The sequence below is a fragment of the Homo sapiens genome, chromosome 10, assembly GCF_000001405.40.
Source record: "Homo sapiens chromosome 10, GRCh38.p14 Primary Assembly".
Taxonomy (NCBI): Eukaryota; Metazoa; Chordata; class Mammalia; order Primates; family Hominidae; genus Homo; species Homo sapiens.
Window position 1 is genome coordinate 120,090,190 of NC_000010.11, and position 25,114 is coordinate 120,115,303.

Sequence of the window (25,114 nt, forward strand, 5' to 3'; positions counted from 1 at the left end):
TGGTCTCAAACTCCCAATCTCAAGTGATCCACCCACCTTGGCCTCCCAAAGTGCTGGGATTACAGGTGTGAACCACTGCACCCGGTGAGGAGTTGCCCCTTATGGATGAGCAAAGAAAGTGGTTTCTTGAGATGGAATCTGCTCCTGGTGAAGACGCTGGGAATGTTGTTGAAATGACAACAAAGAATTTAGGATATTAAATTAACTTAGTTGATAAAGCAGTGGCAAAATTTGAGAGGATTGACTCCAATTTTCAAAGAAGTTCTACTGTTGGTAAAATGCTGTCAATCAGCATCACATCTTATGGAGAAATCTTTCATGAAAGGAAGAGTCAATTGCTGCATCAGACTTCAGTGTTGTCTTATTTTAAGAAATTGCCATAGTCACCACAACCTTCAGCAACCATCACCCTGGTCAGTCAGCAGCCATCAACATTGAGGCAAGATCCTCCACCAACAAAAAGATTATAATTCACTGAAGGCTCAGGTGATTGTTAACAGTTTTTAACATAAAGCATTTTAAAATTAAGGTATGTATGTACACACACACACACACACATATATATGTATTTAGACATAATGTGATTGCACACTTAATAGACTACAGTATAGTTTAAACATAATGTTTATTTGCATGGGGAAACCAAAAAATTTGTGTGGCTCACTCTACTGTGATATTTGCTTTATTGTGGTTGTCTAGCACTGAGCATGCAGTATTTCTGAGATATGCCCATATTGTGTGACATGTGACTATTTTATGAAATTCAAATGTCTATGCTCATAAATAAAGTTTTATTGGAATACAACCATGCCCACTTGCTTACAAATTGTCAGTGGCTGCTTTGGTGCGGGCAATGGTAAAGTTTAGTAGTTGCAGCACTGACTGTCTAGCCTGCAAAGCTGGAAATATTTAGCATCTGGCCATTTACAGAGAAAGCTTGCCCTGCTCTGTACTCAAGCTTTATTGAGGGTGAGACCCCAAAGGGCAAATGTGGGAGGAAGCAAGGAAAGGAAAGACAAGGTCGTGGGTTACAGAGTGCACCAGAGTTGGTAAGAAAACAGCATGTGGGTCAGTCACTGGACCACAGGTGAGGAATCCCACTGGGGGTTCCATCCAAAGTGGGGAGGGATGGTGAGAGTCTCACCAGCTTGCTCTTTCCTGTCTCTTGGCTTCATCAGCCAAAGTTCATGCTGTAGGCTGTTAGCACATCTGGGTTGTTTCCTGCTCCCTCCAGGGAGCTGCTGGGGAAGACTAGGCTGCCATGGGTCCTGTCTGGCCAGTGTGCAGCTGGGTGGACTTTGCCAGTTGATGCCACATGTAGGACACCTTAACTGGTGCCAGCAAAGGTGGTGGTGGCAGAAGCCGGGGCTCTGCAACCAAGAGACTGGCATGAGCCCTTCTAGGATGGCTCTAGGAAGCAAGAAGGGAGGAAGTGGATGGGCAGGGAGGTTGGAAGGCCTGGGGAGGTTCATAAACTGGGTTCAGCACATGATGACCCCAAAGAGCTGTAATCAGTTACAGTACTCACCCTCTTGTCAGTTGCAAGAAAAAAATCACATGATGCTTGCTAGAATGAACACTACATGAAATTTGGGCACAGAGTGATATTTGAGGTGTTGGGTGGAGTTGAGGTGGTAGAGGTCTTGGTGAGTCTGGGTTTAGGGAATGAGAAAACCTTTGTAGCTGGAACTCTCCAGTATCTCATGCCCCAGTTATGTCAGAAGAAAAAGGCAAACATTTCCTAAATGGATTTTATTTTTATAGAGCCATCAATTCAAGTTGCAGTGAAGGGCTGGCTGAGAAGAAGAGATTGGTTTCTCAGGGGCAAGCTCTGGAAATTTGGAAGCTATAGAAGGACGAAAGTTGACTTTTCCCCCCAGGTACCACTGGGCAGTGCTGGATTGGTCAATAGTGAGCAGAAAGACATAGTAATAAAAGGGTACAGTCATTGTTAGGTAACTTCCTCTTCAAAGGCTCAGTTTCCCTTATATTAAGTGTGGGATTGAATAGGGTCATCTTTATGTTTGTTTCAAACTCTCACATTTTACACATCCAGAATTCCCAGGTCAAAGCTGTGACCCAGGCTGACCCAGCATTCACTCTTTGGCAGTGGGTAAGGTTGATGATGGGACAAAGCATTTTTAGTGCAAGTCAAATTACTTGGGTGATGGTTGCCATTTCCTGAATTTGATGAGGGAGCCCTAATGCCTAGAGGACTATGTGCTGGCAGCTTCATTTCTTTAGTGAGAAAGTTTTTTGTTAATAAAAGCCAAATCAAACAAAAAACAAGTAAAGTTTAAGTACAAAAGCCAATGTGTGTGTGTATTTTTTTTAGATGTTACATAATCCACAGCAATCTGAATGGATTGAAAAGACTTCATGGAGATGGTTTATAGTTTTTGCGGTCACCCCTGTTGCCAACACTTGTAAAGTTATAAAATTTAGCAAGGAAAGGCATAGGTTTGCCTGTGTGGCCGATAATAAATAAAAAATCTCCCAAACTGAGCTGACAACTAAGAAAGAGATAGGACAAGCAACACAGAGAAAGAAAACAAAGGATAATGAAAACGGCTCGGGGCAAACAGGCAACAGTGAAGAGAAAAATTTCCTGCAAAAGACCAAGACCAGGAGCCCTTGTCCTTAAATAAGAGGTAAGCATGGGGGTGGGTGGCAAGAACCGTTAATCCTGGTGATGGAGGAGGCACTCGTCCCATCCCATTTATAGAAGATGACAGTGATAATAACGATGGCCAATGCTCTTGTGCACTTGTTCTGGGCCAGGTGTTGGGCCAGGAGCTTCCCAATGCATCCTTGAAATTTCTACCTGATTTTCCTCATCTCTGATACCCAGTGTCATTGGTCTGGATCATGGAACTTAGCATCTCTGCCTTGTTCTCCTGCTCTTTCACCTGGGCCAGGTTTGTTTCCTCGGTGTCCCTGTGGGCGACCTGATGGGATAATGTGTCTTTCTCATGTGTACTGTCCTTCACCCTAGCACAGGGTTAGGCCCAAAATGCATGCTCAAAATGGACTTGATGGAATAGTTAGCAGACTATTTAGCTCATAATGATTCTTGACATTAACAGAGGGCTGTGTGCTGAACTCTGTGCTCAGTACTTTATAAGCATAACCTCATTTCATTCTCACAACAGTTTTAGCAGGTATGTTAAAAAGTTTTTAAATTGTAGTAAAAACCACTTACCATAAAATTTACCATTTTAACTATTTTTAGGTGTATAGTTCAGTCATGTTTTAAGTATATTCACATTGTCATGCAACAGATCTGCCAAAGTTTTCCATCTTGCAAATATGAAACCTTAGACCCATTAAACAAAACTCCCCATTCCCTTCCCTCCCTATCCCTGGTAACCACCACCCTACTTTCTCTTTCTATGAATTTGACTACTTTAGGTACTTCGTATAAGTGGGCTCCTGCAGTATTTGTCTTTTTCTGACAGGCTTATTTCACTTAGCATAATGTCCTCAAGCATCATCCATGTTGTAGAATGTATCAGGATTTTCTTTCTTTTTAAGGCTGAATAATATTCCATTGTATGTTGTATTAGCCCATTTTCACATGGCTGATAAAGACGTACTCAAGACTGGGTAATTTATAAAAGAAAGAAGCTTAATGGACTCAGAGTTCCACATGGCTGGGGAGGCCTCACAATCATGGTGGAAGGCAAAGATGGAGCAAAGGCACGTCTTACGTGGCAGCCAGCAAAGAGAGAATGAGAACGAAGTGAAAGGGGTTTCCCCTTATAAAACCATCAGATTTTGTGAGACTTATTCACTACCATGAGAACAGTATGGGGAAACCACCTCTCTGATTCAATTATCTCCTGCTGGGTCCCTCCCACAACACATGGGAATTATGGGAGCTACAATTCACGATGAGATTTGGGTGGGGACACAGCCAAACCATATCATATGTGTATACCACATTTTGTTTATCCATTCAGCTGTTGATGGACATTTGGGTTGCTTCCAAGTTTTAGCTATTGTGAATAATGATGCTATGAACATGGATGTGCAAATTGGAGGTGGGTAATTTTATCTCCTCTTTCCATGTATGGGGCTGAGGATCAGGGAGGTTATGCTACTTGCCCGAGGTCACAGGCAGGATGTGGTCAACGTGGGTTTTGAACCTGGGTTGACCTGACTCTGCAAATTTTGCTTGTCACTACTCCTATGCACACTTTTGCTCAGGGCAGCCCCCAAAGGAGGACTGGAGAGCTCTTTTGCAGTTAATGAAGGGCTAAGGTTTATTTGTGGGAATTTTTCTCAGGCCCTGGAACTCTCCTGTGCTTTTGCAGAAAACCTATCACCAGAGGCAGTTTAGGAATGAATTGAAGTGGAAATGACACCAATTGCTGTTTAGGTGGAAGAACAAAGCAACAGAGAAACAGAATTCAAAGGAAGTTGCAGAGGTGATTTAGCACTCCCTTCACTTATTTTTTTAAACATATTATATAAAAGCATTTCAAAGAGTTCACATAAATGTGTAAACATGTGCAGGCACACACACATTCAGAAAACAAGACTGTGACTTCTGTAAATAATCCAAGTGATAAATGACCTTGGTCTGCGTATATCATAAACCATGACGACAAATTATTGGGACAAGTTTGCTAACAGGTGTGATCTATTTAGCTAAACAGATATTAATTTTCCAGCTCTTTGACCTGCTGATAAATTACATCCTGTTGGAGATACATCATGACAAGTTACAATAAAAGCTGATGTTGCATGTGATTGTCAAGACACAATTCAAATGAGATGATTCTTGCCACATATGTTGTGGTTTGGTTTAGAAACTATCCACAATGTAGGTTTTAAAAAAATGATTTTTGATTTACATGGTAAAGGCATTTTATTAATATACTTAAAAATCAACGTATTAGTCCAAATGAGTTGCTCAATATTTGCGGCCATTTACATTTCTGGGCCAGGTTTTGGAATTGTGTCCTGTTTTTTGGAATGATGCTTTCCTCTGGCACTTCCTGCAGAATCTTTTGACACCACATACCTGCCTTGAAATGTTGCTAGGCTACAAAATCAAGTCCCTCGGGATGGTCTAAAATACATGTCCCTTTTGTGTGATATATGATCATGATTTGGAGTTTCCAGTGATTGAAAAGCTGCTGTCAATGTGAGCTTATGCTTTTTTCATCTATGAAAAGCAGGTTTCTCAGCCTGGAAGGTGTTGAGACTTTAGCCCATGTAATTTCTTGCTGTGTGCACCCTTCCTGTGCATTGTAGGGTGTTTCACATCATCCCTGGCCTTTACCCACTAGATGCCAATAGCACTCCCCAGTTGTGACAATCAAAAATATCTCCAAACATCACCAAATGTCCCCTGGGGGCAAAAATTGACCCCTTGATGTCTGCAAACCCCTGCATGTTGCCCTGGTTTTATGGATAGTTGCAGAGTTATTTCACATGCATTTTCTCTTTGTGGTAGCTATTAACATAAATATTCTTATTTGTAATTCTGGCAACAGCCTGGCAGGGAATATTAATGGAGAAGAAAAAAAGCAAAAAAATCCTCCTGTGATATTGCAGTCCACTGAATTACATGCTATTGAGGGGCTAATAAAAGAGATGATGATAAACAGAATAACCTTCAGTTAAATACCGTGTTCCCTGTGGATACCTGCTTCCTGTTTTATAGCGTCCCTCAACTATAGCTTATCGTCATAGATCAGTTAATGGTATGTTTCTTTTTAAACTTCATTGATATCACCCAGTGTTTATTCCCTAGTATTTCATTTTTTATTCTCTTAATCAATAAAGCTTTGCTACCCATTTGTCATTAAAAGTGTCAGTTTGTTTTTCATTCCATATATCTGGCTGACTTCCTGCTTGGATGAATGGAGAAATCTATTTGACTTTGATGGAACTAAGATTATATTGCTAGTAATCAGTGTCTTTTGCATGACAAATCTTGTTCAAATAAAAGTGGTAGAATTTCAGCCTGTGCCGGTGAGCAATAATACTAAGGACAAACACAATATTCTATTAACAGGCTGAGAATAATCTCTTACACTAGGCCCCAGAATATATCATTTGGTTTACACGATAATATAATTTGGACTGTGAATATAAGAATTTTATATTTCTAAAAAAATTACTTGACCATCCTTACATTGTAAATTAAAACATTAAGGTCAGACAAGAACATTTCTCACTGCTGCCAAGTCCACTGTGGGTTCATCCAAGCCACTCTCCAAGGAAACTTTGCTCACCTGCAAAGGGATAGACCTACCGTACTCTTTGCAGGATGTTGTGAGGGATTTCACGTAAGTTTTGATGGAGCTTCCAGAATCTTTGTGGACGCGTGGGACTGTAACCCGCAAGGCAGACGGCATGGAACATTCTGGGGCCTAGGCCAGGATGGGATGCACAATAGCCTAGCAGAGCCACAGAGCCTGGGTCACAGTTGGGAAGAGCCTAGGCTACTTCCAGGAAAAGCTAAGCAGACGTTCCAGAACTCAGAGGCCGAGAAAGTGATGAGGCCGTGAAGGAAGTGTGAGGAGAGTCAGGGGACCCCTGTGGGCACATGGCAGGTCATGGTGGGCAGAGGAGAGGCCTAGTACAGGGCCTTGGGGTGGAAGAGGTCTGGGTTTGAATCATGGTTTTGCCCTTATTACTTGCTGTGTAACCATGGGCAACTTATTTAACCTCTCTGAGCCTTAGTCTCCTTGTCTGAAATAGGGCTAACAAGAGTACCCATCTTGTAGGATTGTTGTGAAGAAAAAATGAGAGAATATCTATAAACTACACATGGTAAGTACTTAATTATTAGGGGCCATTTTTACTTTATTATTGGGGTTAATCTACAAATTCAGGGCCAGGTGAGGTGGCTCACGCCTGTAATCCTAGCACTTTGGGAGGCCCAGGCGGGCCAATCATTTGAGGTCAGGAGTTCGAAACCAGCCTGGTCAACATGGTGAAACCCTGTATCTACTAAAAATACAAAAAAATTTAGCGGGGCATGATGGCAGGCACCTGTAATCCCAGCTACTTGGGAGGCTGAGGCAGGACAATTGCTTGAGCCTGGGAGGTGGAGGTTGCAGTGAGCTAAGATCACACCACTTGACTCCAGCCTGGGCACAGAGCGAGACTCCATTAAAAAAAAAAATCTACAAATTCAGGAGATGTGTCAGTATGCCCAATTCAAGTGGTATCCACCTAGTACATATCCATCTGGCACACGCAGCAGCTAATTTTTTTTGTTTGTTTGTTTGAGATGGAGTCTGTGTTGCCCAGGCTGGAGTGCGGTGGTGCGATCTTGGCTCACTGCAACTGCTGCCTCCTGGGTTCAAGCAATTCTCCTGCCTCAGCCTGCTGGGTAGCTGGGATTACAGACGCCCAGCACCAAGCCCAGCTAATTTTTGTATTTTCGGTAGAGATGGGGTTTCACCATGTTGGGCAGGTTGGTCTTGAATGGCTGACCTCAGGTGACCTGCCTGTCTCAGCCTCCCAAAGTGCCGGGATTACAGGCATAAGCCACCGCACCCGGCCAAGTTTTCTTAAAAGGAACATTCTAGGTCGGGGAGGTAGGGTGGGCAACTGACCTTGCTTGGCTAACATGATGGTCAGCTTGCTTGGCCAGTATTTACACCTTAGGGGAATAATATTTAGGAAATAGACTGAACTTGCTGTCATAATAAGTTCTGGGTCTGTTGATACTAAACAGAATGTGACCTGTGGGGGCTATGAAAACCAGACAACCTAATTTGATCCTGCCTGAATTCTCTGAAAAAGAAATGTGGTTGCTCATGATCTCCTAAATCTCCTAGCTCAGAGGAATTCAGTGTGCACTTGAAGTCTCTTAGTGGCTTTAATGTTTTTACTTCTTTTGGTGGAGGCAGAGGGGGAAGAATAAAAACTTTAAAATTTATTCTCTTTTAATTGCACAAAGGTAAGAATCATGCACAGATTAAACTATGTGGCAATTTGCATTTTTACTTGGGCAATGTTAGCAATATGGGGACCATGAGAAAGAACAGTTTGATTTTATGCATGATACACATGTTCCAACCGAATGCCTCTGGTCCCTTTTAATCGTTAAATGCCTCTGGGGTTTTAGCTTATTGGAAGGATCAGGAAGCAAAATTCTAAGTGGGCCAAGTTCCAGAAAGGGAGGGTGAGAGCAGGAAGGTTTTTTCCCCCTTGCATTTCCCTGGCAAGTGTGATTTGAGATGCACATAGATAAAATGCCTGGCTTGGATCTAAGCAAGGACTAGCAGATGAACTGACTAGACCCTGCTGGGAAGGCAGAACAGAGGCTCTGGGTGAAGGCTCTGAGATGGTTCTTAACAGCTACTAGAGGGCATTTGGGGATCCCCTTTCAGGTTTACAATTACATTTTGGGCAGCAAAGTCATACCACTTGATTAACCCATTTATGCCAGAGGTTGCAATTTTTTGAATTTTTGCAATCAGATCTTGGTGATGACCTTGAGCAGTAGGATATAAATAACTCCCACATGCTTAGCATTCCAGTAATGGAACACTAGGCATAAATGGGTCTTAAAGATGTTGCAGATAAAGCATGCTTGGAGCCAAGAGTTAGTGTGTCATGTCATTAGAAGAAAAGATAACTTTTCATACCAAGAAAAAGATGTCCTATGAATTAATTTCCCAAGTATTCATTCTTGCTATGGGCATTGCCCAGTGCCTGAGAACCAGGGTATAAAACTCGAAGAACTGAAATGATGAAACAAACTCTTCGTGATTTTTAAGGTAATACGATGGGCTCGTATTCACTTTGGAAGTCTTTGAATCTCGCAGCATTTCTCTCCATTGCTAAGTTGATAATGCAGTCAGAGTAGTTTCTAAAATACTTTCATGCTTAAAACATAAAGGCTGATGTGGCCCTGGTTGTGTATTGAATTCACAAGCAGAACTCCTGCTGTTAGCCTGAAAGGAAACTATCACCTAGGAATTCAGATAACTGTTTTAAAGTATATTCCAAAAAAGGAAGCAATATTATGAAACAAAAACGCCTCAAATTTGGAGATGTGGCTTCTAAGGGCAACTTTTATTTTTGTCCCTTTTGCTATACTTCTCTTCTGCTTCTTTTTATGTCTTTTCCATTGTTTGGGGATTTGTGATCCTTTTGAAATAATTTTCTAATTTAGTCTAAGTTTTAGATAAAATTACTTTGCTTGGAAGACCCCCAAGAATGATCTTGGGGTACAACTTCCGTTTGTTCTGGTTTCAGAAAATTCAAAAGATATTGCAGCACTGCTGTGAAGCCTAATTAATGTGATTAAGTTGCTTTTAAGTTCCAAGATAAAAGCAGCTAGATAGGTATGAAAGAGAGAGCCCCGTTCTTGTCCCTTGTCATTGAATGGAAATGTGTGCACGGTGGGTGGAAATGAAAACTGGTTGACTTGCAAACTGCCTGGTTTCTCTTCTACCTGCACCCAAGGCATTAAAGTATGTGTGTGTCCACATGTGTGCACCCATGTACACGCATGTGTGCTTGCATATTTTAAAGCAAAGTTTTGTTAAGACAGACGTTCTTTGAATCTCTTTGGTCCCAAGTATTGCAGTTATGGTTGTAACGGGCATTATCCTTGGTTTCCACATTCTATACATAAGATCACAGGAAACAAATTCAAAGTAGGAAAAGCCAAAGCAATTTGCAATTCTGTGTTCAATTAATCTGCTTTTTGGAGTTGGAATGTGGTCCTAAGGGAAGAGGAATAGGGTTTGTAGTTTGTGTAGCTTTGAGACCCAAACTGCAAGCCAGTGTGTGCCAAATGGCGTTCAGGCGAAGGCCTTGGGGAGCCAGGACCCTTATCTTCCTGGCTCAAGACTGGCTTCCCAGAGTTTCTCAAGAACCCAGGGGCTGGAGGCAGGTTAGCATTTGGAAGAAAACCAGCGCACGCACTGCAGACATATGAACAGTTTAAAGTCTGTGACTGATAGGTTAATTAAGAGGCTTTTAGGTGTAAAACGGTAAGTCTAAAAATAAATGTGCAGATATATTTGGATTTCTAAATGTATGAGAGACATGGAAGATTATGAATGCCTGCTTTTCTAAGCACAGTGAGTACAGTACAACACAGTCGATCAGCACTCAGCTCTTTCTTTGGATGGCATATGACCTGCCTTTGACGATCCCATAACTAACCATTGGTGAAGGGTTTCTTCCCTAGATGGTGGCTTTTGATGGAGTTAGGAAAACTGCCTGCCAGCCCAGGTCTCATTGCAGAAGTGCCATTTATCATAAAAAAAATAGCAGGTTTCCAGTATTTTCAGTGCTGACATCATTGGTTTGTTTGATTTTGTGGCTGTGTTTTGTTCTTCTGTCTCCTGAGCCTATTCTTAGGTGATCTACTCATTTTAAAACTTGAAATGAACTGAAGCTACATTTTGTGTGGCTAGGGATGACACCCCTATATATTATTTAAAATGTTCTAGAGCATCACAAACCCAGGGGTAGGATCCCTGAATTATGGAAGAGAAAAATAAACCAGGCTTTTATTTATTTTATTTATCCTTGTGATTCTTTTTTCTCTAAGAATGAATTTTTCCAAATAAAACTTTTTTTCTTCTTTAAATAATTTTACCTTCCAGACATTTTTTATTTAAGAATTGTTATAGTCTTCATGATTCTACTCACATTAGAATTTACTGTTCTTGGGGGGCAGAGACAGTGTCCTGAAGTCTTTCTGCAGGTAAGGTCACAGGTCCTGTGGTGGGGAATATATATATTTTTTCTTTTTTTTTTTCCCTCAGACTTCTCATAGATGAAGGGAATATTTTTAATGTACACCCCATAGCACTTGGCACAGTTCTGGCTTCATGACCAATATTCAGGATGTGAGACTTAACACCATATCTATAATCTGTGTGTGTTTACTTGTTTCATTTTATTTACAGTCAATGATCCTGGAATCGAGAGGTTTCCTTGGAGAACTGAAATCAGATGAATTTTAAATCCACACAGGGTCTCACTATGTTGCCCTGGCTGGTCTCGAAATTTGGCCTCAAGTGACCCTTCCACTTTGGCCTCCCAAAGTGCTGAGACTACAGGTGTGAGCCACTGTGTCCTGCCAAGAAATATGTTTAATGTTTGTTTCCCCAGTGTTTCACATAAACTTAATAGAGGAGTGTATTAACATACAGTAGGTCTAGTGCTCATCATGTCTGCTTGGAATCTGGGTAGCTTTGTTCCTTGGCAGGAGAGGTGTTTTGCAGCTCTGAGTAAGCCCGTATACCACGGGCAGCCCTCCTGGCTTAACTGCTTGGCTGGCCTTCTCATCTTAAATGCAGCCTCTCACGGATGGCTCAGTGAGAATGGCAGGAAGACCAGCTAAGGAAAAGTAGACCAGGCTAGGGCTCACAATAGCCTGAACCAGGGCCGTGGCAATGGGAATAGTGGGGAGTGAACAGCTGTGACAAGGGTCCTGGAAAAGTGGCCTCAGGGGAGAAAGCAAACCCAAGTGGGCTGTTGGGTTTTGTGGCTGGATGCCTGGGATGATGGGCGAGCAGAGATCGGGAAGCCTGGAGGTGTCATCTGGAGGAAAGATGATGAGCTGGGCCTGCACAGATCCAGTTTAAGGGCTGGGGGGCCTTTGGGGACAACTGTCATCGGGGTTTTAGGAAAGAGTTGAGGCTGTGTGTGCAAACTAGGGAGTGAATGAAGAGAGAATCCAGAGAGAGGATGGTGGAGGATCATGGTCAAAGCCATGGTGGGAGCATCTTCCTTTAGAAAGCAGGCAGGGAAAACAAATTAATAGCATGAAGGAGTGAAGGAGTGCAAAGAGGTGGAAATCCAGCCAGCGAGAAGCAATATCTTGAAAGCTGGAGGGGAAGACCATGTCCATAAGTGGGAGTTGGGAGGTGGCAGAGGAGAGGAGGGCGAGGGAGGGGAGGGGGATTCTCTCAAATGTGCTGAGAGGCTCAGGAGGGTGAGTGGTGGTGGAGACGGGGGTTCTGGACTAAAGTTCGGGAGGTTTCAGGGTGCTAACCTTGGAGAGCAGTTTTAGGAGGGTGGTAGAGGGAGAAGCTGAATTGAGGAGGTGATGGAGAGGGTTGAAAATGCTCTTTGGGGAAGTATTTTTGATCCTTCCCTTTAAAAATACCTTTTATTTTCACAATGTCATTAAAAAATCTGGCTGGCATACGGCAATGACAAAAACAGGCAATATAGTATTTTATGAATAAGCTTACTTTAATAGATCCAGGGGACTGTTTAATGCACTGAAGAATTATTTTTCAGGCATTCTGTGATGTCCAAATTAGGTTAATATACCTCTGAGAAGTGAATCAGTTACTCCTCGTTGGATAGTAAGGTCAGAACAACTGTTCCTGAAACCTTAGTACACACTAGCTGATAAGACACTGTTGCCCATAATGTCTATTTATTGGATCAGCAATTTATAAGTCCCACATTCTCATGCCACATAGCTCTACACAGCTGCAAAAATATACCATAGCTTGCAGGTGATCATTGGTTTGATAAAAGATAGTCGCTCATGTTGTGAAAGTGATCTTTGATATAAGAGGAGCATCAGCGGGGAAGCTCACATGTCCCGTGGCTCACACACCAGAAGGTATTTGTGTCTTGTCATTGTCTGTCTGGCAGTCCATGGCAATGGCTTTTTCAGAGAGGCCTGTTTTGTGGTTAACTGTGTGTACCTTTCTTTCCAGGCCATGGCAAAAAAAATCCAATTATGTCCTTCTTGAGTCTGTGGTCTTAAAAAAAAAAAAGAAAAAAAAGATAATTACTTAAACAGACTTTTTTTTTTCCTTATTCTAATTTTGTCCTGATCTCTACATAAGGTAGGTTTTGAGGTTTTATGAACATGGTCTGTATATTAATATTAAAGCTCTAATGTATGAAAGTAGCCTTCATATCTGGTCCCTCTTTCCTCCATCCCTTTCCCAATTTTAAACCTGTTACAATTTTAGCTCAGAAATGCAGAGAAGAAAATTGAAAGCGTCAAAGGGAAGGTATAAAAACATGAAACTGTGATGGTGTCTACATCCCACCCTTTGGACCTCATGGGGCTGGCAGCACGGGGTGAAGAATGGAATGTTTGTCTATTATTCTTCATGCCCTTTCCAGGGGAACCCTCTGAGAATAGGAAGCTAAGAACTTCTTTCAGCATCCAAAGAAGGCCCAACAGTAAAAGTCAAATCTAGAAAGGCAACTTTGTCAGTGGAGAGTCAGGGAATCATGTCTATGAGACAGATTAATTTAATTACCTGGTGCTACTGCTTCATTTGCAATGATTATTTATTCACTGAGCTGGCTAAATTATACCCTTATCATTCACCACCTCATTTCACTATCCTGGAGATCAGAGCTGTAGATCTCTTGCGTGTTCCTAGGAATGAATTAAACCACCCCTTTAATCCAACGCTAGGCTTTGTGCAGCAAAACGTTTGTTCAGCCGCCCCAGGAGGCGTTCTGGGAGGAGAGCAGGCACTTACCTTGCTTCTTATGTAGTATTTCCTTTGTGAGCTGAAGATTAATGCATGGATTCACCTCCTTCAGCACATTTCATTTCAATTGTGAAGAAAAGATTCCAGGCACTGAATGTAAAATTGAACATGACATTTTGACATTCCTTCTTCTGAGAGCTGGGTTGGTCTTAGTTGCTGTGAGGCTCTAGACACCGACCATACAGGGCGTGGGGCTGCTCCTGGACATGAACATCCTCCGAAGTTCTCCCCAGTCCACTTTACCCCCTCTGGGCTCACCTCTGAATGTGTCTCTTTGTCCACACAGGCAGAGATTCGCTACATCTGGAACTTGGCTCCTCCCAGCTTGAAGTAGCATGAAGATGTGGTTGGGGTGGGGTGGGAAGCGCCATGTTAAACAAACTTGGTAAGGAAAGAGAGCTTTACATTTCCCAACCCAATCTCCCACCCACGGGAGCAATCCCTGCATTCCTGGCTCCCGACTCTCACCAAGGGGTAGCTAAGCCCATGCCAGACAACAGACTTGGCATCACTTAATGCTGTTGACAGTATGACCTCACCAGCCCTACCTAGTTGCCCTGAGTAGCTTGTTCAAATTCCTTTCTGTTCCTGTGGCTTTTCAGTACAACCCTCATCTTCTCTTTGCTGTTTCTCTTAGAATCGGCCAGAAGCAACTTTTATTTGCATCTCATTCTGTGTGCTCTGTGAGCCTGTGAGTAAGGTCCCAGGGGGTTGCTTCTACCCCTTGAATTGAACTACTCTCAACCCCTCTAGAACTTTACATTTACTCCGATTATGGCTCTTATGCAGTGTGATTTCCCCCGCCACCCCAGGGATAGAGACATTTTTGGTTGTCACAACTCAGGAGCTACTATTGGTATTCAGTGTGCAGAGGCCAGGGCTTCTCCTGAACCCCATACAGTACACAGGAAGCCCCCTGCTCCAGAGATCTCTCTGGCCCAGAGTGTCAGGAGTGCTGAGGTTGAGAAGCTCTGCTCTAATGCTATATCATAAACCATAGTTTAGCATGTTCATGAACATACTGCAACAGGGCCGGCGGTAAGCACATGGTATCTCCCGTGTCCAGCACAGAGCTGAGCCCATGGTTGGCTCTCAGGGATGCTCACACCAGAGGAGACACACGATCATACTGTCTGCTATCCCACAGCCTAGGTGTGACTCCATCTGTTTCACTGAGCACTCACTGCTGAGTGCTGAGCAATGTTTTGGAGCTGGTGCTTTCCCCAAATTTTTCAACTTTTTTGATTCCTCTCCCAACGTCTATGGAGAAAAAAATAAGCGATTTTTTTCCCCTTCAAAAATGGAGGGAAACCACATAAAATAGTTTTTTTTTCCTCTTAGTACTAAAGACAATGACTTTCTGCAGGTTAGTAAGCCTGAATGGTCTTGTTGCAGATATCTGTATCTCCATTGTGCAACCACTTTGGGCTATAAGAGGACAGCCAGAAGCTATAGTTTCATCAGAGGAGAACGTGCTGCTGTTTGCTTTTTGACCCAAAAATACTCTTTGAAAGTGCAGAGTGCTTGCAACACTGCCAGGGCCTTGTCCTCTCAGGGACAGATGAGGGTGGTTCATGTCTGTAGATTGAGGGTCAGGAATTAAGAAAAAGAAAAAAGGGGATGAAGCGAAGCCATGATTCTGGATTGTTTGGAACTCAGCTAGACATTTATAAATGTTATGGGGGAATGGAAGAACTCAGAGAATTTCAAAATCTAGCAGAGGTTTAAACTTAAGAATCACTCTGCCTGCTTTTAAAATAACAGATGTGTTGGTTTTATTTTACTTCTTTTGAAAACAGCTGGCAATGTGACAGTTAACAACATTTTATCGGTTGGTCTCCAAGTGGGTTGGAAATCAAATCAAAATTTCTGCTGCCAAAAATGATAACTCTTTCCCTGACCAGGGAAATCTTGATTCCTCAGAGTGATAATACTTGCACTTATATTCTGTATTTTCTTCTGCAATAGTCAGGTACTAATATATCATCCTTCTCTTTGAGAGGTTAGTCCAGCTCCCGCCCTGCAGATGAAGAGAAGGAGGATGTTGAAAATGACTCCCCTGAGACAGTGGGCCCCATTTGTGGTTGTCTGATGCTTTATGAGGATTTCTTTAGAAAAAAGGAGAATAATTGAAGAAATGTGTTATTAGCATTTCTATTAGTTATTTTTCCTGGAAAAGGCAATTTGATGGGAAGTGAGGCATAAAGAAGGCAGAATGATGATGTTGCTGTGATGATGAAGTCAGATTTATTTTTATAATAGCTTTATTGCGATGTAATTTTCATACTTTACAATTCACCCATTTTAAAATATGTAATTTAATGATTCTTAGTGTGTTCACAGAGGTGTGCAACCATTACCATAATCAATTTTAGGACATTTTCATCAGCACCCCCCAAAAACTTTATCATCTTTAACTATTACTTCCCATCCCCTCACTCTCCCCAACCCCCAAATCGCCCAGCCCCTGGCAACCACTTACCTGCTTTCCATTTTTATGGGTTTGCTTATTCTGGACAATTCACTGAAATGGAGTCATACAATGTGTGGCCTTTTATGTTCACTGCTTTCACTTAGCATAATGTTTTCAAGCCTCATCCATGTGGTAACATGTATCAGCACTTCATTCTTTTTATGGCCAAGGAATATTCCATTGTATGGATAGACCACATTCTGTTTATCCAGTTCATCATTTGTGTACACATCACTCAGCAAAATCCCCAGGTGCCTGTTGAGTGCTCAACCAATAAAAGGATAAATCCAGTAGTTTGGCACATATTTGCTGGTGCCCTATATGATGTGTCAGATGCTGTTCTAGGAGTTGGAGATTTTCCTGTGAATACAAGAAAGCTTCTGCTCTTCTGGAGCTTACAGCATGCTGGGAAAGACAGGCAGGGGACAAAGGAACTGGTAACATGTTGGGTGATGGTAAGAGCTATTTTCACACATGTCTGTGTGAAGAGACCAGCAAACAGGCTTTGTGTGAGCAACAAGGCTGTTTATTTCACCTGGGTGCAGGTGGGCTGAGTCCGAAAAGAGAGTCAGCAAAGTGTGGTGGGATTATCATTAGTTCTTATAGGTTTGGGATAGGCATAGAAAGTACATTCTTAAGGGCAGGGAAGAATATTACAAAGTACCTTCTTAAGGGTGGGGGGAGAATATATGTATCATTTAGGGTGGGACAGGAACAAATCACAATGGTGGAATGTCATCATTAGAGATGATTCTCAGTTCTCCTCCCTAAAGGCAGTCCCATTAAGGCTATTTTCACTTCTTTTGTGGATCTTCAATTGCTTCAGGCCATCTGGATGTATACGTGCAGGTCACAGGGGATATGATGGCTTAGCTTGGGCTCAGAGGCCTGACAGCTATGAAAACCACACGGCAGGGTGGGGAAGATGGAGAACATAGGAGGGTCATGATTTTACATATCATGACCTGTTCCTTTCTACTGCATAATCCCAGTACTTCCCAGGGAAGTGGGAGCAGAGCAAGCAAGAAACCAGTGTGAAAATAAGTAATTATAAAACTAAGCTGTTGGAACTCTGAAGTATTTTGAACCTTAAAGGAATGTGATTATGGGGCCTGAGTCATGTGACAGACAACTGTAATGTAGGCAGCTGTAACCTTTGTTTCTCTGATTATAGATTAGTCTTCTTCCCTAACTGCACTGTTTTGTAAAATGTTATAAATGACTAAAGAGTGACAGGGAAGACCCTTTCCTTCTTTGCTATTGATCTTCATTTTAGATTACCTTCCCTTTGCCTTTCTTATGGAAAGACTTTATGGCTATCACGTTGTCTGAAGATGGGTTATTAAATATACTCTTCATCACAGCACTATTCAGAAGAGCAAAGACATGGCATCAACCTAGATGCCCATCAGTGGTGGACTAGATAATGTGGTACATATACACCATGGAATACTACACAGCAATAACAAGAATGAAATCATGTCCTTTGCAGCAACATGGATGCAGTTGGAGGCCATTATCCTAAGCAAATTAATGCAAGAATAGAAAAGCAAATATGGCATGTTCTCATTTAGAAGTGAGAGGTAAACATTGGGTACACATGGACATAAAGATGGGAACAACAGACACTGGAGACTATTGGAGGGTGACAGAGGAAGAGGGGCAAGAGCTGAAAAACTGTTGGGTATTATGCTCACTACCTGGGTGATGGGAATGTTTATACTCTAAACCTCAGTGTCACACAATATACTCAGGTAACAAACCTGCACATACCCACTGAATCTCAAATAAAAGTTGGGATTATTTTAAAAAATAAATTGGAGAGGAGATGAAAACAAGTTGTACAGAAAGGAAAACAGACTGTAAGTAATTAAATTGTTGTCATTCATAAACTAGCCTTGTATAGAAAAATGTTACCCTGTCAGATTTATTTGTTTTCTGCCTGTATAAGCAAGAATTTAACTTTAAACTTTGGAACACTGATCCCATTTCTCTGGAGTCTGTCTCTCAAATCGCAGTTTTTCCCTTGAATAATCTTTTTATAACTGGATTCTGATCTCTTCGATTATTTCAGGCTGGCGCCATGTCTCTTATTTCCCAAATGGTGCCACTGACATCATAAGATGAGCCTGGATGGTAATGCAGGGCACTCTGGTCCATATTTCTCTGCTTTTTTGCACAATTTCAGTTGTCCAGTTGTTCCTACAGAAAGTGCTAACCTTCCTTTCTCTTTCCTGCATCCTCTGTACTCTGAGCTATAAATAATATACATGAGAAGCTCACTGTCATTTTGCCATTTGACACTTTTGCAGTCACTGACTATTCACCTTTTTATCAATTGCATTCAGTTTTTACCAGTTAATAGTGGAAGGAGCTTGCTTGTGGTGCTTCATCTGAGGCCAGCCTTTGTAAGCGCCTGGAGGCTTCCTGGTGCTGGAGAACGAACTTGTGCAGGGACAGGAACTGCTGATTTTGTGCGGTGCATGACACCTCTCATGGACTGCTTCAAATCACATAATAGCTGAATGCCTCAAAGAATGCTTATTTTCCTTGACCTACCTTCTCTTGCAGTGCTGACAATCTGGTTTTTGAGAATGATAGTGAGAATTTGCAAAAATTGTGAAGAATAGGTCCCAAGCAGAGAGTTTTTTTTAAAAAAACTATAATTTCTTCTCTTTGTGCAGATTTGTGTATCTGAGAGAATGAGGAACCATGGGTTGAAGTCCACTTAGGAGAAAATAACTTTGCTACCATAGGATTTTCATGAAAATATCTTTTCATCTTTAAAAATTTAGAGCTGAATCCATTGAGTCTTAGTCTTTGTGTCTCGGCCTTTAGGACTGGGAGGAACAGGACATCTGACATAGAGTTGGAACCACTAATGAGACTCCATGGAGTCAGTAGGGTCAGATCAAAGGTTCTTCCCAATGGGTCCAGGACTTGTGAGGAGGCTTTCTGCTTTGCCTCCCAGGCAGTCTGGGGAACAGAATGCTCCCTAGGATAAGTTATTCATCCAAGTAAAAGCTGCTTACTGCCTCCGGGAGAAACACAGGCAGTGGAGCTCACAGAAAACCCGGCATCTGAGGCATGGGGGAATTTTCTCCTTAATTGGGCAGGGTTCTTGCACAGAAAAGTGAGACAGTGTTTATGTATTCATTTTTGACTTTTATTTCAGGTTCAGGGGTACATGTGCAGGTTTGTTATTTAGGGAAACCGCGTGTAAAACAAATATCACACGTTCTCACTTATAAATAAGAGCTAAACCATGAGAACACATGGACACAAAGAGGGGAACGACAGACACTGGGGATTACTTGAGGGTGGAGGGTGGGAGGAGGGAGAGGATAAAAAACTACCTCTCAGGTACTATGCTTAGTACCTGGGTGACAAAACAATCTGTATGCCAAACCCCTGAGATGTGTAGTTTGCCCATATAGCAAGACTGTGTTTTTTGTTTTTTGTTTTCTATTATACTTTAAGTTTTAGGGTACATGTGCACAACATGCAGGTTTGTTACGTATGTATACATGTGTCATGTTGGTGTGCTGCACCCATTAACTTGTCATTTACATTAGGTATATCTCCTAATGCTATCCCTCCCCCCTCCCCCACCCCACGACAGGCCCCAGTGTGTGATGTTCCCCTTCCTGTGTCCAAGTGTTCTCGTTGTTCAATTCCCACCTATGAGTGAGAACATGCAGTGTTTGGTTTTCTGTCCTTGAGATAGTTTGCTGAGAATGATGGTTTCCAGCTTCATCTGTGTCCCTACAAAGGACATGAACTCATCCTTTTTTATGGCTGCATAGTATTCCATGGTGTATATGTGCCACATTTTCTTAACCCAGTCTATCATTGATGGACATTTGGGTTGGTTCCAAGTCTTTGCTATTGTGACTAGTGCCGGTCTGTAAGTAACCGGGGACAATGCTGTGAGGAGAGACTCTACCCCCAACAAAAAGAAACATCATCAACATGTTTATAATAGTGTTGTTGCCACTCTTACTGACAAAGCACTAATGTTGATAAAAGTCTACTTACCAAAATTGCAAATTACACCAATCTTTACTTGGGATTTAGTTTTATTTCAATTTAAAAAGTTGCTTAGGTTACATGTGTTGCTAAAATAAAAAGATCCAAACAGTAGAGATGACAAATAAGCTGTGAAGAATAATTATCTCTCTCACCTCTGATTCTCAATTCTCCTCCCTAAAGGCAAATAGTGCTCCATGCACAGCGTTCCAAAGATATTTGATGCATTGTCAATGTTGCAACAATTGCTAAATGATTGCATGTAAATGGCATGCAGATACCTGGGCCAGGACTTGTGTCCTGCTCTTACCACCTCACTCCAAGGAGCCTCTGTCTTTACTTCTCTCATAAGACTGTTAGCATCAAATGATTCTTATAAATCTCAGGCCCTGGTCATAATTAGTGCTGAGTAAGTGATTGCTGTGTGAACAACAATTTATGAATTATCTACTAAGTCAGAGAGTTGCCCGATAAAATGCAGGACACCCAGTTAAAAGTTCAGATAAACAATGAATGATATTTTTAGAATTAGTATGTCCCAAGTATTGCATAGGATATACTTATACCAAAAAATTATTCACTGTTTATCTGAGACTAACTTACCTGGGCATTCTGCATCTGTATTTGCTAAATCTGGCAACCCTACCCTGAATGTCAAACTTCAAGCAAGTCCATGTGAAAGGCAGTATCCTAGAATGTTGAAATTTCAGTGCTAGAGGGGGACTGAGAGATGATCTGTGAGGGTCTAGCACTCTCAGTTTTCAGGCATTAAGGCCCCCTGTTAGCCTCTGAGTTCCTATCACCCCAGCCAGTTTCTTTTTCTTTTCTTTTTTTTTTATTATACTTTAAGTTTTAGGGTACATGTGCACAATGTGCAGGTTTGTTGCATATGTATACATGTGCCATGCTGGTGTGCTGCACCCATTAACTCGTCATTTAACATTGGGTATATCTCCTACTGCTATCCCTCCCCGCTCCCCCCACCCCACAACAGGCCCCGGTGTGTGATGTTCCCCTTCCTGTGTCCATGTGTTCTCATTGTTCAATTCCCACCTATGAGTGAGAACATGCGGTGTTTGGTTTTTTGTCCTTGCGATAGCTTGCTGAGAATGATGGTTTCCAGCTTCATCCTTGTCCCTACAAAGGACATGAACTCATCATTTTTTATGGCTGCCACCCCAGCCAGTTTCTGGACCGCAAAAGCAGCGAGAAGGTAGATGATTCTGTTCCAGGCTCTAACCTCAGGCTCAGCCTATTGCTGCACCCATTCACTGTCTCCTTCTCCCTGTCCCTCCTTGCCCCTCATCCTTTCTTGAAAGTCTGGAACCACAGATCTTCAGTGATGGTTGTGGGATTACTACAGTGAGGGGAGGGGAGGGAATGCTTGAGGAAGACTATTTACCATGCCCTGGGGCAAACGGATGGGTCTTAAAATGAGTGGGTGTGCAGTTGGGAGGGTCGGACACAGTGACAAAGATCTGGACATACAGGGACATTTTTGGCCAGTCTTTCAGGGTTTATGAAACTCAGGACCAGTTTTAGACTGTTAATGTGTGAGGTCCTCTCCTTCTCTTTCTCTAAACAAAGCAAACAAACAAAAAGAAACATGCCATGCTGTTGGTGAATGTTGGGTGTTGAAAGAGGGAGGAAGAACTGTTCGATGCTTGGTAGCTGATGGCTCAGTTCAGCTGTCTCTTAAAAGCATGTTGTGATTACGTTTTTCATGAATAATACGGACAGTAAGTAAACATGTTTCAATGGAAAAATGTAAACACCCCTTCCCCATTCCCAATAAAATACCACTCTATAATTTAGATGGCAAAAAATGTTTTTGGTCTGATTTTAATGAGCAGAACTTTTCTTTTCTTGTGCTGTCTGGCTTTCTCTGTCTTGGTCTCTGTCTCCTTCCTCTCTGTAAACCATTCCTTCCATCTCCCCCACTGCCATCCCAAGCCATTTCTAGAGCACTTCTGAGATTCCTGTCAGTTCCAGTTTTCACGAAGCCCACGAGAAATTCCTTTCATTGCATGGGATATAGGATATTCTTGTGGAGTGGCAGCCCAGGAAGGCAGGCAGTAGGGAAAGAAAATGTTTGGAGACTTGCCTTTCCTGTTTGCTGCCACCATAGAGAGGATGCCAGTGGCCACCCAGTGGAAACCCTCCAGAGCTGAATGCTTTCTAAGCGAATGGCTGTCCTGACATTCTGGGGGAGTGCATTGACGAGGCAAAATGAGAAGAGAGGAGTGATTTGGGAGATGAAATAGAAAGCAACAGTAAAAGACATTTTATGACACTCACAAGTCTGGGAATGGTTGGCAAAATTATTTTGATCTTGTATATTTTTTTGTACAAGAATATACAAGAATATATATTCTTGTCTATTTGAAGAGCTTATTTTTTGAGATACTTTGTTTTCTTTGCATCCTTCTGAATGCAGTTGTCAACTTCTTGGGGAAATTGTTTCAATATGGCAATTACTAAAATACTAAGATTAGTTTGGTCGCTTAAAAAGGTTTTGCATTTTGGGGTGTGTGTTTATTTCATACTTTTCATCATATTTGCTTTAGGGTGAATACTAAACAGGTCCTTTCAGGAATGGTACATGCAAAGATGACGTGCACGGTGAAATGTAACCCATCTTTGTGAATTCTGGAAGGAAAATCTGACTGATCAGCATGGGGCTGACATGTTATAAAACTTCCCAAGGCCTTTAGGCAAAGAAGGCATTAGAATCACAGGCCTGGAATATTACCATCAGTAAGTTTGGAATTTAATGAAGTAAAACATAGGCTTCACTTAATGGTGCCAATTAATTAATCTTTGGTATGCTCAGTGAATTTAATTATTGCAAAGTCATGATTTTCTTTTGTAAAAACCAGGACAATGGTTTACCATCTTGCCCTCTAATTTATCTAAAAGTAAAATAAAGTGGAAAACATTTTTTACATATTAGTCATTAATGAAGTAGAGGATGAACTTGCATATAATAATAAAGCCACTCATTTAAGAGTTGGTTTGACAAACTAGGATGACTATGTGACTGCAAAGTGTCAGTTAAAGAATTGGTGCATTTATGATGTATTTTATGTGAAAAGAAATGAGACATCAATTCCTTACAAATGAAGGTAAGTTATAATAAATAAGAAAGATGTACAGAGATTACATGTTTGGCATATGTTTGGTAGCTTAGATATAGAGATGTTTCTAATGTTTTTACTTTGAGATTAATAAAAGTTTCTAATTTATGTTCCAAGATAATTTAGTTCTAGCACACACAATTTTCTTTGGCTTGTTAGAAAAGTTTGCTTTTTAAAACGATTCTTTACATATGTAAAATAAAGAAGCTAACCTAAGTTAATGAGAAAAAAACTAATAACACAAGATGAAAACCTTGAAAGTGTATTTTCTCTGTTTTGACTGACTGGTCTCGTCGTGGTCTTTATTTCCATAAATATGCTGAAATTCTCTGTTTAACATGTCTATATTTCCACCAGTTTTTTAGCGTCTATATTATTATTATTGTTATTTATTTTATTTTTAATTTTTGTGGGTACGTAGTAGGTATATATATTTATGGGGTACATGAGATATTTTGATACAGGCCTGTAATACATAATATTTCCATGTGATGGAAAATTAATAGAAAATGGGGCATCCATCCTCTCAAGCACTTATCCCTTACTTTACAAACAATCCAATTATACCCTTTTGGTTATTTTTAAATGTACAGTTAAATTATTATTGGCAATTGTCCCCCTGTTGTGCTGTAACATACTAAGTCTCATTCATTCTTTCTATTTTTGTACCTATTAACCATCACTATTCCTCCCAGCCTCACATTACACTTCCCAACCTCTGGTAACCATCCTTCTATTCTCTATCTCCATGAGTTCAATTGTTTTGACTTTTAGATCCCAGAATTGAGAACATGTGATGTTTGTCTCTCTGTATTTCACTTAACATAAATGACCTCCAGTCCATCCATGGTGTTCCAAATGACATAATCTCTTTTTTATGGCTGAATGGTACTCCATTGTGTATAGGTACCACATTTTCTTTATCCATTCATCTGTTGATAGATCCTTTGGTTACTTCCAAATCTTGGCTACTGTGAGTCATGCTGCAACAAACACAAGAGTGCAGGTATCTTTTCGATATATCATAGTTATTTTAAAGTTCATGTCTGATAATTTCAAATGCTGGGCCATCTTTGTGTCTGCTTCTGTTGACTATTTTTTGTCCATGGATCATATTTTTTCTTTTGCTTCTTTGTGTGCCTTATAATTTTTGATGTATGCTGGATATTTTGTATAAAAGAACAATAGAGACTGAAGTAAAGAAAATTTACTTCCAGAAATGGGCATGTTCTTTCTTATTTCAGGCTGATAGAGTGAGGCGGTGAATCAGTCCTATCTGTAGTTTAGCTAGGACTGGCCATTGTTGCAGCTTTGATTCAGTTCACCATTTGCTTCTAATATTTTAGGAGCAGGCACAGGGCATTCTTTTCTGTAGGGCATTCAGATTCTGTAGAATCTGACCACGGTCGAGATCAGAAGAGCTCTTTGTTTATTATAGCTGAATTGCCAGTTTTCCTAATGGATCTCTCTGGTTTTTTACAATCCACTTCCAGATTTTTGGTTGCCCAGATACCTCACTTTCCCCCACAATCCTGCCCTAGACATTTTGTACCTAGGGAGATTTCTCTCTACTTTCCTGGGTGCTATAGGGAGATTTTTCTGAGCTCTCTGTGGCTGAGAGTGTTTAGCGCCTTGGATTGCTATCCTGCTCTTCCCCTACCTCCCGGAGACTTGTAGGGGTTCCTCCCTGTGTGCCTCAGGGAAAATCTCTCCAGTTCTGCCTCCAGCTTTTAATGTACTGCACAAAGCACTCAGTGAAGACCTGTGCACAGACTGGGCAGGCAGGTGCAAGACCTGCTCTGGGGCTGGGACTCCTGGAATTCTAATCTGTCATTCCAGTTCACTGTAATCTTTAAATGTTTATTCAAGTTTTGACTGGTTCCTCTTTAACCCCACATTTGGAGCATTAATCCTGTTGTTGCTCAGCCAGAGAGGAGAGCAGCCGCAAGTCTCTTCTCTTCTATGAATGGCTATTCATTTCCTAGAGTGAAGGTTTAGTTCAT

At 41.5% G+C, this 25,114-nt stretch overlaps 1 long non-coding RNA gene across 1 annotated transcript, besides 3 other annotated features; it reads right to left on the reverse strand.

Annotated features, from left to right (window-relative positions):
- Positions 4,486–4,655: an enhancer, noted in NCBI's record as "experimental_10397 CRE fragment used in MPRA reporter constructs". NCBI's record gives its function as "activates a minimal promoter by MPRAs in K562 erythroleukemia cells, with activity observed for the non-introgressed 10:121854272 variant allele {active_cell/tissue: K562}" and the evidence as "EXISTENCE:reporter gene assay evidence [ECO:0000049][PMID:34662402]".
- Positions 10,257–10,426: an enhancer, noted in NCBI's record as "experimental_10432 CRE fragment used in MPRA reporter constructs". NCBI's record gives its function as "activates a minimal promoter by MPRAs in K562 erythroleukemia cells, with activity observed for the introgressed 10:121860043 variant allele {active_cell/tissue: K562}" and the evidence as "EXISTENCE:reporter gene assay evidence [ECO:0000049][PMID:34662402]".
- On the reverse strand, positions 12,177–13,740 carry LOC124902514 (uncharacterized). Its single transcript, XR_007062313.1, has 2 exons — positions 13,461–13,740; positions 12,177–12,719 (listed from the first exon to the last, which is right to left on the reverse strand). It is a non-coding gene; the product is annotated as an uncharacterized LOC124902514 (long non-coding RNA).
- Positions 17,326–17,495: an enhancer, noted in NCBI's record as "experimental_10450 CRE fragment used in MPRA reporter constructs". NCBI's record gives its function as "activates a minimal promoter by MPRAs in K562 erythroleukemia cells, with activity observed for the non-introgressed 10:121867112 variant allele {active_cell/tissue: K562}" and the evidence as "EXISTENCE:reporter gene assay evidence [ECO:0000049][PMID:34662402]".